At 44.9% G+C, this 14517-nt stretch overlaps 1 protein-coding gene across 4 annotated transcripts in view, besides 2 other annotated features; it reads right to left on the bottom strand.

The window, feature by feature from the left end:
- DPF3 (double PHD fingers 3) overlaps positions 1-14517 on the bottom strand; it is a 285068-nt gene that overhangs the window by 240222 nt on the left and 30329 nt on the right. The window lies entirely within an intron of this gene.
- Positions 2684-3261: an enhancer, noted in NCBI's record as "H3K4me1 hESC enhancer chr14:73318647-73319224 (GRCh37/hg19 assembly coordinates)". NCBI's record gives its function as "activates a minimal SCP1, AML or CMV promoter by ChIP-STARR-seq in naive and primed H9 embryonic stem cells {active_cell/tissue: H9 hESC(naive and primed)}" and the evidence as "EXISTENCE:reporter gene assay evidence [ECO:0000049][PMID:30033119]".
- Positions 14152-14291: an enhancer, noted in NCBI's record as "active region_8689". NCBI's record gives its function as "activates an Ori minimal core promoter by ATAC-STARR-seq in GM12878 lymphoblastoid cells {active_cell/tissue: GM12878}" and the evidence as "EXISTENCE:reporter gene assay evidence [ECO:0000049][PMID:35858748]".

Here is a 14517-nt window from a genome sequence, read left to right on the forward strand (position 1 = left end):
CGGAGCTTCCACTGGTGGCTGTGACACTTCTTCTCTGTGCATGATTGGTGAGGGGTTGCACACACCCACCAGGAGACATGACGGCAGAGGGCAAACACTCTGAGACCCAGGGTCCACCCAGCTCTCTTTTGCCCTCTCCTCTCCCTGGGCTGCCCCGGCTGCCTCCTTGACCTCTGCACTCTTCTGCCCACGCTGCTGCCGCCCACATCTTGGACAGCATCCCCCGGGGCCGCCTTCCTGCCTGTCTTTGTGTACAATTCCTGCCAGGCCCGGCAGTTCTCCTAGCTAAAGCCGGCAAGGTCCAGACCTGCCCGTCTGGCCTGGTAATGGTGTGGTCCACATTTCACCTCCCACCTTCACCCTAACTTCATCCTCATGGCCATTCTTTATCCACAACAACTCCTTCCTCCCCATTCCCTAGACTCAGCAAAGCAGTCAGGAGCTAGGCAAGGTGGCCTTTATCCCAGAGGTTGGGATAAACCTAGGGCTCATAAATCTAGGGCTGTGAGCCAAATACGGCCCCTGGGATTGCTTTCTGGTTGTGCACTATGCTTTTTGAAAACTGAGTTAGCTAGGTTTAGGCTGGGCACAGTGGCTCATGCCTGTAATCTCAGCAATTTGGGAGGCCAACCTGGGTGGATCACCTGAGGTCAGGAGTTCAAGACCAGCCTGACCAACATGGTGAAACCACATCTTTACTTAAAAAATACAAAATTAGCCAGGCATGGTGTCATATGCCTGTAATCCCAGCTCCTTGGGAGGCTGAGGCTGAAGAATCGCTTGAACCCAGGAGGTGGAGGTTGCAGTGAGCCGAGATCATACCACTGCACTCCTGCCTAGGCGACAGAGAGAAACTCCATCTAAAAAAAAAATTAGCTAGGTTTAAAGTCATTAGAGGTCATATAAAAATGCAAATTTCAAACTTCTCTCAGAAAATCAGGAGCCGTGACAACACTGGGCTCACCTCCCCATGTGGCAAATGGCTTGGGTTGAATGTGAACATCCTCCCTGGAAGGGCATAAACTTCCCAGTTGACCACAGTACAGTCCCCCAACCCCCACCTCCCACCAACTCCCTATTCTTCGTCTCCTACAGGTTTACATGGCCTGACTAGCCCCCAGAGGCATTGGAGTTTGACACGCCCACAGCAGTGCCTCCATTTTGCCGATGAGCAAACTGAGAAAAGGCAAAGAGAAATTAGTCCCCCAGATCTCCAAGTGAGTTCATCAGCAAATCCAGGGCTGGCAATCATTAGACAATATTTATCCAGCTCCCAGATGTCCCCGCCCCTGCTCTGTTCAGTCACTGCACTCATCCATGTGGCTGCCCCAATGCCTTGGGCATGCCAGAGAGACACCTCATTCTTTCAACACACAGGTCACAAACATCTTTTGTGCCATGACAATCTGATTCTCCTCACGTCACCCCAAGATTAACTCTTTTCAAATCTGTGGTTCAGATTATACACCCTGAAGCTGCTGAGGGGTGACCTCTCAATAAGGCTAATCTCCCCTGGACCTAAATACTGGTGGGGCGTGTGTGCATGTGTGCATGTGTGTGTGTGTGCGCACGCGCATGTGTGTACCCATGTGAACTCGCTCATGCATGTGCTTCTAGATTAACACTCTTTCTTCTCATTAACTTCCCAGACAGGTGAGAAGTCAACATTTGCCCCAGTTAGAGAACCAGAAAGTATCAGTCCCACTGCCCCATCTAAAGGGGCAGCAGCTGCTGATGGTTGCCATAGTGGAATGAAGATTCAGGGTTGCCAGATCTTTCAACTTTTCAAGAAGCCAGGAATATAACTTAGAAGAGGGGAGCAATGGTCTCTAAAGACCTGTGCTGAGAAACAAGTTCCTAAGTGCTTGGGAGAATTTATGAGGACCAGGTGCTAGAGAATGCCGGGAAATGAACGCTCCCCTTTGAACGTCCCATTGGTGAGGTCAGAACTATGTCCTCAATCCCTCATCAGCCTATCCCAGGACTCTGAAGAGGACCCCAGGGTGCTTGGCTGGCTTTGCCTTCCAGCCTAAGAATGTCTTTGACTAATATTTTTCTTAATCCCTGTTTGCTCTGTCCTCAAAACAAGCCTTTTTCTCTTTTTCTTATCCATCTTCTCCATAGAGCCCTCAGGTTCTTAACTCACACGGCACTATCTGGATCTTTCCAGTAAGTAGGTTGCCGTTTCCATTTCTTTGATTAAACAACTCTAACAAAGAATTCATTGAGATGAAAATGCTTATCATGAAGCAGGTAACATCCTTTTCCTCCCCAAACCACAAGCAATTAACATATAAATGGCCTGGCAAAGGGACTTCTTTGAGAGGTGGCAGATTATAACTACTCTTGCTCCTACACGGATAAAGCTTTTTTTTAAAGACAGGAAAGAACAATTTACAAATGAGAAAATGTCACAGATGGCCACAAACTAACTTCCCGAGGGATGAGTATTTTGATGCAGATACTTCTTCAAGTGAAAAATGTACAATGTACAAAATGTCCACTCGAGGATCTGTTCCTCCCCGTGTGGGTAATCGCCCTCCTACCACGGGCAACGGGTAGGCAACCGATATGCCCAGAAAGGCGGCCAATGGGAGGACAGCTCGCCCAGCCTCCCGATTGGCCAGGCCCGCCACCAGCTGGAACCATGGCGAGCTTTGAGGACAGCAGAGCCACTTGATGGGATTCTCTCTCTCTTCAAAGCATAGAGCAAACATCAATTAATCCTCAAAAGACGCTTTCAAGAAGAACATTATCCCTTTTGGAGACGCAGAAGCTAAGAGGTGCCGCAGGTAGGTGAAGGGAAGGCAGGAAGTTGAAGAGGAGAGGAGAAAGTGGAGCACCGGGCTTTCAGCCCCAGTTCTGGTTCTCCTGAGAGAGTCAAGTTGCAGGAGAAGAATGAACCTGCAGAAGCCGGGCAGGGAGAGGTGGTGGAGAAGCCGCTGCTCTTGGGTGCGCCCCTCAAGGCTTCCCACTGCCCCATCCCCTAGGAGACCACGGAGTGAAAAAAGTTGGAGGCCTAAGTACAGCCGTGTGTACCCAGCCGGGCACCAGAGTTAAGACAACTGGACTTGTGCTCAAAAACCCTTCTTTAGTAAAACAACCCGTAGGAGTCTGTGGGAGGAGGAAAAATTGAAGTCTGGATGCAATTTGCCACACTGAGTCTGTTCTGGTAACCGCCCCCAACACACTCACACCCCCTTGCCTGAAATGGGGAGAGGGGTGGGATCGGTGTGTGTAAACAGAGGCACTGCCCTGCCTGGCTGCTCTTTCCATCTTAGGAGAACCAATCCAGAACTTTCTACGGCTCACACTCTGATCACAGCCTGTCGCCATGATTGGCAATAAACGTCACACATTCTCACGTTATACATTTATTCGACCTTTAATATTGTGCTCTGAGATTCCTGGAAAACTTGTATGTCATTGGTCAAACGTTATAAAAACAGCCCACTATTTTTTCCCCACTCACATCGTCCGTGTTGACTGCCTTACACACCGATTTCTACATGGAATGTTTTTAGCCTGCATTTTAACACTTAGAATAACTTTCTTTGCCACACACTACATACATACTGTTTGCATCAATAAACAGAGCCCGTGCCACATGCAAGTTATAGGTTTATTGGAGACATTTAAGTGTTTATAGAAAGGACTTTTCTAAAGAATCTGAATGGGAGTTCTCTCAATTTACCAATAGTCAAAGAAATAAAGAAAATTACCCTACAGCTGATTTTTTTTTAATTAAACTACCAACAACTATTCTGCCATAGCCTTGCGTGTGTGTGTGTGTATGTGTGTGTGTGTGTATGCATGCTTGCTGAGGCATAGAAAATATCTGGAAGGATTTACAAAAACTCCTTAGCTTTGGGGAACAGAATGGACAGACAGAGAGAAAACCTCTTTTTTTCTTGTTTTATGTTCTTTACTGTGCATTGTTTACAATCAGCATGTTGTTGTTTTTTTTTTTAAGACTAGTCAAGAGCAGCAGTGAGAAAGGGGGAAGGAAAGAACAAGGAGTTCAATCTGTAACTGTGAACAATCAATTGAGATAACTCACTACCCTCAGACTAGCCACCATGTTGCTTTTTAAATGTTTCAAATCACAAAATGAAAAAGTTACTCTAAGATCATCTATTTTTTCCCCAGGTGTGGTATTTTGTCCCCATGCCTGTGCAAAGTAAGCCAGTAGAATTTAGAAATAGCTTGCTGCCTTTTTTTTTTTTTTTTTTTTTTTGAGATAGAAGCTTGCTCTATTAACCAGGCTGCAGTGCAGTGGCACGATCTTGGCTCAACACAACCTCTGCCTCCCAGATTCAAGTGATTCTCCTGCCTCAGCCTCCCAAGTAGCTGGTACTACAGGCGCGGACCACCATGCCTGGCTAATTTTTAGTAGAGACGGGGTTTCACTATGTTGGCCAGGATGGTCTCAAACTCCTGACCTTGTGATCTGCCTGCCTTAGGCTCCCAAAGACCTGGGATTACAGGCATGAGCCACCATGCCCGGCCTGCTACCTTTTTTACATACACAAAATAATTGCAAACTTTCACTGCAGTACTGCCAACCCTCATGTCACCATCTACAATGTACCACGTCAAGAAAGGACAATATCTTCAAACCCACTTACCAGAAGAAAAGGTTGAAGCTGTATTTGGCAGGATACTGACATACAAACCTCCAAGATCTGGGAAACAACTCAGGCTCCTTGACTTGACTTCCTTAACGATGACTTGAGAAACACCAGAAAGTCCAGAACACATAAACTCATGAAACCAACCAATAGACTGGAATCTCTCCTGTTATTAAAGTCATCTTTTTGGCCAGGCGCAGTGCCTCACACCTGTAATCCCAGCACTTTGGGAGGCCAAGATGGGCGGATCACTTGGGGTCAGGAGTTCGAGACCAGCCTGGCCAACATGGTGAAACCCTGTCTCTACTAAAAATACAAAAATTAGCCAGGCAAGGTAGTGCATGCTATAGTCCCAGCTACTCTTGAGGCTGAGGCAGGAGAATTGCTTGAACCCGGGAGGTGGAGGTTGCAGTGAGCCGAGATCACACTCTACTCTCTCTACTCTACTCCAGCCTGGGTGATAGAGTGAAATCCTGTGTCAAAAAAAAAGAAAAAACAAATCATCTTTTATTCTCTTAAAGAATGAATTTTTCATGGGCCATCAACTTCTTCAGTCATTTAAGTATTTGTTTAGAGAATATTTCAGTTAGAAACTCAGGAAATGGAGACCTGACCTCAAAGGGCCCTTTCCAGTCATAAAGTAATTAGAAATAAAATAAAAACAGGTTGAAGTGATAAGCTGATAAGAAAATCCAATTTGTTTCCAAAATTGTTCACTTACAGCTGTTTTTCTCATGAATATAGCTATAGTTGTCATCAGCAAATCAGTGGCTTGGAATTCGAAAGGAGTGAAAATATACATCCTGGGTCTCTTGAACTCCTAGTGTTTGCCAGAGCTAGGCAGCAGGATCAAATGGTCAATTTCAGCCTGGCCCTGAAATCAAAACCCTCTAACAGTCACAGAAGTTCTGCAGCTAGTCAGTTACTTACTGCCCACACTTCACTCAGCACAATCCTTAAAGTCACCAGAGGGAGCCCAAATTTGCGACAAACCAGAATGCTTTCCTTTTAGGGCATAGTTGTCCTTCTGATTCTACTTTTGCCCTCTCCTTTCCAAGACTAATTTAGAAACGAAGGGAAGTAGGCTAAGAAAATCCTCACCTTTAATATTAATAAGACTTGTGCAGTCCCCGGATGATCAGAGCCCAGACTACATAGGACTTGAAAGAAAGAATGAGACTTTGATATGGAATATGAAAAAGTAACAGGTAGGAGGGGTGGAGAGACCAAACTGAGAGGCCTAGGGCCCAGCTTCTGCAGCTCTGTCACTGACTGGCCCGGTGACGATCACGCCTATTTACTAAGCAGGGATGACCTACGCTTACCTGTCTACATTTTTATCTGTGAGATGAACGAAATGAAACCTCCAATGGTTTATTTGCCATGACAATTTTTAAAAATCAGTAGGAATGAGGGAATTAGGAATTGAGCCCATGCTATACCTTCTTTTCAAAAGAGATTTCACATGTACCATCTCATCTGTATTCCTGGAGAGATAGTAGCCCATTATGAGTGGCTCCAATTTACAGAAAAAGTAACTAAGGCACAGAGTGGTGATCTACCCAGGACAGCATGGTCTGTAGAAGAAGCATTGGTCTGTTTAGTGCATTGAAATGTATTCCAGAGATATTGGTCTGTAAAGACCTTCCCAGAATGTGTCTAGAAGGTTCAACCACCTGGTGGAAGACATAGAACGCCTTGTCATGCCTTCCCCATTCCAGCCTGGAGTTCTCTCCATGGTCTCAGCCTGCTTCTATGAAGCTTAGTTTTATAGGGAGCCTTTTAACCAAGCCAACCTCAGAGTCCCACTGGCCAAGGGGATGGTGGGGGAGGCAAAGGATTCTACTGGGGCAGTATGTAACCCACATATAAGTTCCATCCAAAGCAACGCTTCCAAACCTAGCTCACCAGGACAGGAGAAAGGTTACCATCAGGGTACTCTTAGCTGAGAACTCATACCTTTCGGGCTTTCATTGGCTTGAGGCATGAGTGATCAGCAGAGCCCCACATCACAATCCCTGTACTCAGATATAAATTATATTAGTGGGCAGGGAATGTCAGGAAACTTAGGTTGTAGAATCTAGATCAACAACTGCTTACCGAGGAGCTGGGTGAATTGTAAAGAAAGAAAGAAACAAGTGTTGAATGACTGTGGCCTCATTAAACATTTCTGTGGCCTGGCCTGTGCTTTGGGCTTTCCCAGAGCTGTTTCATGCAATAGCTTTGGGCAGGGCACTTCTTTGGACTTACTCCAACTACACAAGGAGGAGGAGGATGTCTATGGTTCTTTCCACCCCAGACACAGTATCAGTCACAGCCCCACCTTAATTCCACTACTCCAATTCTGTTCTGAGGGTATCACAGGATGCTGTGGTGGGTTCCCCAGCCCCACAAAATCCTTTTCTCCTCTAAAACAGGAGAACATCTTTCCTTCCTTTCTGATCATCCATCTTGCAGCCAGCAGGACTCCCAGCCAGAACATTGTCAATTTACTCAGGGATCCATGAGGCACCTTTTGGAAGATGAGAGGGGTTGGGTGAAAAAAGGAAGAGGAAGTGGGGTGCTGGTACTTCTGGAAACAAGCCATTTCTCAGCCTGCTCTGTGAAGGTCCCCCAAACCCTACACAGATCTAGGAAGGGAAACTGCATTCCAAGAATGCATGGGGGCTAGAAGGACCCGCTGGAGCATGGATCCCACCCACAGGAGATAATATTTTGAAAAGAGCACACATTTAACCAGGGAAGAAGAGCCCATGCCCTGGCTTAAGAGCATAGCTGTTTCCTCCTCCATCTGCCCCCATTTTCCCAGGCCTGACTAGAGCAAGTAGTTAAGCCAACCCAAATCCAGAAGTATGAATAATGCGTGAAGCACAGGAGGACAGGCAGATGGCCTTTTCACCTGCGCAGGCTATATAGCTCTGTGCGGAGGGGCTGAGAGTCCAGCGCGGCCCCTGTGCCCCTCAGTAACTGTGCAAGAGGAAGTGGGCCTCCCCTGCGGGGGTATGAAATGTGGGGCGAGGACTTAGGAGTTCACCGGGAAGTGCCAGCCATCCTGGGGCAGACACCAAGAGCTGGAGTGATTTGTTTACCCTTTTTTCATGAGTTAATTTGCTTCCAGCAGATTCCATTAGTGACCTGACAGACCAAGGGCCTGGAGGAGGTCCCTGGAAGAGCTGCTGAATCAGCAGACTAAAGGGGCGACCAGGAAGGCCAGACGTCTTGCACCGAGCCCTTTGCTCAGAGTTTCTATTTGAAGAGCTTAGAATAACTATTTGCTAAGCTCTTGTCAAGGCAGCACCTCTAAACCATGTATGGAGAGAAGACACACAAACCTTGACCACCAAATGTGAATGGCCAATCAGAAGCTGACACAATCAGCTGCTGACTGAGGAAAAATGATTTTATGGGGGAAAAGAATTCCCACATGAAATAATAAGCAAAAGTTATAAACTTATTAAAAAGCTTGTTAAAAACTTACTTAAAAAGCAAAAGTTTAAACATGGTTCCATCTGCAACTAGGAACTGGTCGGGGAGGGAGGGTTTGAACTTCCTTTGAGTTTCAATTGATAATCCCCGAAGATTAAGAAAATAGTGATACTATTACTACTGCTGCTGCTATTATTACAAATAATAATAACTACAATTAACATTTATTTGGCACCTAGTACATGCTAGGAAGTAGGCAATGAGTTTTTTTGTTTGTTTGTTTGTTTGTTTTTGAGATGGAGTCTCACTCTGTCACCAGGTTGGAGTGCAGGGGCGCAATCTCGGCTCACTGCAACCTCCGCCTCCTGGGTTCAAGCAATTCTCCTGCCTCAGCCTCCCGAGCAGCTGGGACTACAGGCACACGCCACCATGCCCAGCTAATTTTTTTGTATTTTTAGTAGAGACGGCGTTTCACCATGTTGGCCAGGATGGTCTCAATCTCTTGACCCTGTGATCCGCCCACCTCAGCCTCTCAAAGTGCTGGGATTACAGGCGTGAGCCACCACGCCTGGCCTGCAAGGAGTTCGTTATGCATGATTTCATTTACTCCTTGCAACATCTCTTTGAGGTAGGGAAACTGTGTGGGTGAGAAAAGTCACATAGCTGCTAAGTCATAGAAAACGTTCAGAGCAAAATCAAACCCAGGTGTAGGCCAGGTGCAGTGGCTCATGCCTGTAATCCCAGGACTTTGGGAGGCTCAGGCAGGCGGATTACTTGAGGCCAGGAGTTCAAGACTAGCCTGGGCAACATGGCGAAACCCCATCTCTACCAAAAATATGAAACAAATTAGCCAGGTATGGTGGCATACACATGTGGTCCCATCTACTCAGGAGGCTAAGGTGGGACGATTGCTTGAGCCTGGGAGGCGGAGGTTGCAGTGAGCCAATATCACACCACTGCACTCCAGCCTGGGTGACAGAGTTAAGACTCTATCTCAAAAAAAAAAAAAAAAACCCAGGTGTGTCCAACTCCAGGCTTGTGCACTTACCCACTCTGCTATATGGCTAAATCCCACAGGCTACAGAGAGAGCAGGGAAGTAGGACTCAGGAGAACTGCCTCCAGCCCCACAGGCACCCTGACTAGCTGTGGGATCTTAGCAAGTGATTTCAACTTGTGGGCCATCGTATTCCATCAGATGATTGATGTCTTAGGGACCCCTTCAATTCAAACCACAGTTATTGGTGGACTGCCTGAGTGCCAGGCACTAAGATAGGGGGTGGGGGAATGTATAAACAAAACTAAGGCGTGGTCCTTCCCTCCAGGAGTTTACAGTCTAGCCCTGCCTTATGCAAAAGCCAAAGAGCCTTAGGTGTCCCTTCAGGTCTAAAATACTACTCAGAGATTCCTTTTGAACATGCAAAGTATTTCTGACAGCATTCATATTCATCTTCTATTTGTTCTGTGTGGACATTTGCATGGAGAGGTATCTGAAATTATGTTCGTCCAATGGATTTGGGGTGATAATTTTGCTCTCATCTTTTTACTTTTATGTGTTGCTTGAATTTTTAGTAACAAATATACATCATTTCTATAAAAACAAAGGCATTTTTAAAATACTGCTAAATAACACTATATATGGGTGTATATGTATATGTATATATGCACACACATACCTATATACACATATATATTTAAACAGTAACTGGATATTTAATAATACTGTGGAATTATTGTTAACTCAGATAAGATTGTGACTAGGTTTCCAGAAAGAATCTTTATTTTTTGCAGATACATACTGAAATAATTTACAGATAAAATGATGTCTGAGATTTATTTCAAAGTAATCTCTAGTGTGAGAGGGTAGGAGTAGGCTATAGATGAGACAACGCTGGCTCTGAGTTGCAAGTTGTGGAAGCAATTTGGGTGCTAGGTGATGGGTATAAGAGTGTTCACGATACTACATAGGTTTGAAATTTTCCATACTATACAGTAAAAAAGGAACTCCTTTCAAGGCCAACAGGGAAGCAACATTTCCCCAAAGCTAAGCTAAGCACCCAGCTGGCAGCATTTCTACCTGGGGTTTCTACCACCCTTGGCTTCCTCTCTTCTTTGACTATCTATCACAGTTTAACTTCATTGGTTCTCTGCAGCTTCCTCCCCCCCCCCCCCCACACCATTCCCCCCTAACCTTCTGGAATCACGTGTTGTATCTATTTGTACATTCCAGTGCCCAGGCCATCCCTCTTCGACCTTACCCTGGCCCAGGGGACAGAGCGGGTGGGCCTGAGCAATGCTCCCACACACCTCCGCTCAAAGTCAGCTGTTTGCTGTAGAGGTAGAACAGCTTGACTACTGGGGGCGAGGGTCACAGTTCACTCATTCCCCCAGCAAATACGGAGCCAGATGCTGGGGACTCAGCAGTGAACAAGACCAAATTGCTACCTTCACAGAGTTTTCATGCTAGAGAAGGAGCCAACTATAAATGTTATCTCCCATCCCTCCCAGATTTAGGGCCAGGGGTATATTCACCAAGACATTCCTGAATCACCTGGGATCTTGTCCCAAATAATTTAAACCTGAAAGACATGATCTAGTGCCAAGAGCTAGAATACCACCCAACTACCCATCCCAATCCAGTTCCCCATTTAACTGACAAAAAAAAAAAAAAACAGAAATGGTGTAAGCCCACCATGTAAGTAAACATAAGTAAACAGTGGCAGAGGAAAGGGTACCCAGACTTCACTGTGGCAGGCCCACCTGGGACCACATTCAGAATTTTTACAAGCTTAGCTGCGATGTTGACCAAAGTTCTCCCCACTTTTTTTCATTTGCTTGAATTTCACTTTTATTTTTATTAACATCTTTTGTTTTGTTTTGTTTTGTTTTTGAGACAGGGTCTCACCCTGTTGCCCAGGCTAGAATGCAGTGGCACAATCATAGCTCACTACAATGTCCACCTCCCAGGCTCAAGTGATCCTCCCACCTCAGCCTCCCAAGTAGCTAGGACTACAGGCACAAGCCAACATGCCTGTCTTATTTTGTTTTACTTTTTGTAGAGACAATGTCTCACTATGTTGCCGAGGCTATGCTTGAACTCCTATGCTCAAGCGATCCTACCACCTCAGCCTCCCAAAGTGCTGGGATTATAGTCATGAGCCACCACACCCGGCCCTTTATTAACATCTTAAATTTCGTGTTATAAGGCTTGTTATACAAAATAGTGGTCCACTGCAGCTTAATTCTTTTTCTTTTTCTTTTTCTTTTTTTCTGAGAAAGAGTCTCACTCTGTCGCCAAGGCTGGAGTGCAATGGCACAATCTTGGCTCACCACAAACCTCCACCTCCTGGTTTCAAGCAATTCTCCTGCCTCAGCCTCCCGAGTAGCTGAGATTACAGGCGTGCACCACCATGCACAGCTAATTTTTGTATTTTTATTAGAGATGGGGTTTCACCATGTTGGCCAGGCTGGTCTCGAACTCCTAGCCTCAGGTAATCCACCCACCTCAGCCTCCCAAAGTGCTGGGATTACAGGCATGAGCCACCACGCCCGGCAGCTTAATTCTTTTAATTGAAGATTGTGATATTTACCTACACATCTCTAAATAACATGTTTTTAACTGTTGTTTCTTGATTTTTCAGTTTTAGGCTTCCCCAAGTAGGAAAGAGTGGATTTACCCTTTTTGTAGCCTGTGCTTTCTTATCTGTTCTCACTATACACACACACACACACACACACACACACACACACACACACACAGACACATACACACTTCCTTTCTCTCCATCCCCCTATGCTCCATCTGTCTGCCTGCCTGCTTACTATCTATCATCTATCTGTCTGTCTCCTTCCTCCCTCCCTCTCTCGCTCACTCTGTGTATGTATGTACTGGTGAATATATATTTTTATTTCTCAATGATTACCGTTTTTATTGCTATGATTATGTAAGCTCTATTCAGAACTGTGACATGTAGTATTCTCTAGTTACATTTCCTCCACTGGATAACTTGCATTCCTGGAATTAATAATTGTCTTATTTAATTCATTTGCTTAGTATTGTATGTACTCACCGCTAATTCAGACCCCTAGCTCTCCTTAAGTTGTGTATATTCTCTCTCAATATGTTGAGTATGTTTCTCACCCACTTTTGAGGGTGAATTTGGTCATTTTGCTAGCAAACATGATTGTAGCAGTTTTAAAAAACAAAACTTCCCTGCCAGAGATAACTTATACACCTTGCTAATATAACCAGTGACCTCCTATGTGAGTGCTTGATCATGGAAAACATTTAGCCATGTTTGGCTAATCCTAACAAAGACTACATTTGGTGCACGAGAACTTCCAAATCACCTTTCTTAGCAAAAGAAAGAGAGAAAGAAAAGAAAGAAAGAGAGAGAGAAAGAAGAAAGAGAGAGAAAGAAAGAAAGAGAAAGAAAGAAAGAAAGAAAGAAAGAAAGAAAGAAAGAAAGAAAGAAAGAAAGAAAGAAAGAAAGAAGGAAAGAATTTGGAAAAACAGCATTTTCAATTTTTCTTACTTTATCACAATAATGGAAATGGTGTCATAAGGTTTTAATGCATTCATCAAAATACAGCATGTTCTATATTACTTGTGGATTTACCATTGTTCTAACAAAAAAGTATGTATTATATGCTTTCACCCATAGACTGTAAGCTCTAAGAAGGCAAACCGCTTCAGCCCTACTTTTCTGAAATATCCTCATCACCTAGCACAATGCCTCCCATGTAATTAGAGCTAATAAACATTTCTTGAATTGAATCCCAATGTGCTTTAAGAATGGGAGCTCAGTGGCACACGACCTGAGTTAGTTCCCTGTGCCTTTATAGCAACCAGTTTGCATCCAGGTCCCAGTGAGGCCCACTGGACAGTTCCCTAACCCCCCCTGCATGCTATCAACAATGCACCTGCTCTTGGCCATTTCCACCTGGAAGTTGAATTGGCCTCTCAAGCCTTCCAGACGAAGTGGAGCCCACACACACCTGCTGCCCTCACAGTCCTCACCATCACAACAATCCACCGTCTCATCTTCCACTTGCTCAGGCCAAATGGATGCCTCTCTTGTTGTCACATCCTACTTTCAATTCCATCTTAATCCCATCATCTCTACCTTCAAAATGTACTCAGAATCAGCTACCTCTCACCACCTTTGCTGTTACCACGTGGTCCAAGTCACTGCCTCCTCCATCTACTCTCAACTCAGCAGCCAGAGTGATGCTGTAAAACCTTCTGGTAGGTCCCAACTCCAAGGATAAGCCAAAGTGCTCCTATTCCTCCCACTCCCTCTCACTCTGCACCAGCCACATGGCTTCCCTTGCTGTTCTTCAAAACATCAGCCATGCCTCCACCTCTGGACCTTTGCACCTGCTGTTCCCTCTGACTTGAATCCTCTTCTCCTGGATGACCCTCAAATGTTGCTTCTCAGGGAGCTTTTCCCCCAACACTCCTGGTCCCAACTCCCCATTTTAGTTACCTCCATAAACTTCTCACCATCTCACTTCTTTACTTAGTTACATTATCATCTGGGTGCCCCCACTAGAATGCAAGCTCCATGAAGGCAAGGATTTTGCCCAATTTGTTCACTGCTCTATGTCTAGCACCCAGAATAGTGTGACTAATTCAACAATAAGTATTTGTTGAATTAAATTAATCCTAGGACACCTGGAAATATTTTTATATCCCCATTAGGGAGGAAAAATTACAGAATCTCCTTCCAGATATATTATTCCATTTATATATATATATATATATATATATATATATATATATATATATGTGTGTGTATACATATATGTGTGTGTGTGTGTGTGTATATATATATGTGTGTGTGTGTGTGTGTGTGTGTGTGTGTGTATCCCCAGGCCTTTCTCAAGCAAATAAATAAGCTCTAATGAATTTCAAAAGACAAAGAAATCTCATTTCATTTTAACTTTTTCTCACCCTTCCCAAGTCAGGGACCACCTCCTCTCCTCCCCGGCCCAAAGCTGGAAACTGTGTGCTCAGTGGACTCAGGAGGAGTTGCAGGTGCCACCGACCTGAAGGCAATTACCACCCACAAGTTTCAGGGGAAGAGAAGATTACCGAGAAAGGGAAGAGAAATTAGCACATAGATGAGAAACACATGTTTAAAAACTCCTTCTGAGGTCATGAGTAAGCTGATTGAAGCTGGCACCAGAGTGACAAATTAATTTCATGACCCTCTTGCTTTCATTGGGAAATGTAGGATTCTAAAAAAAAAAAAAAAAAAAGCAACCGATGTGTAGAAAAGGGCACGTGTGTCTGCCCACATGCCTATATAGAGTGGTCTGGTAAGAAAACAAGCTGTTTTCCAGTGCATTTGTTTTGAATGTGCATTGAGCCACCTACTGTGTGCCCAGCAGACCAGAGATAGCTAAGGCTCAATTCCTTTACTCAAGGAACTCCAGCAGGTGAGAGTGGCTAGCATA

The sequence above is a fragment of the Homo sapiens genome, chromosome 14, assembly GCF_000001405.40.
Source record: "Homo sapiens chromosome 14, GRCh38.p14 Primary Assembly".
Lineage (NCBI taxonomy): Eukaryota > Metazoa > Chordata > Mammalia > Primates > Hominidae > Homo > Homo sapiens.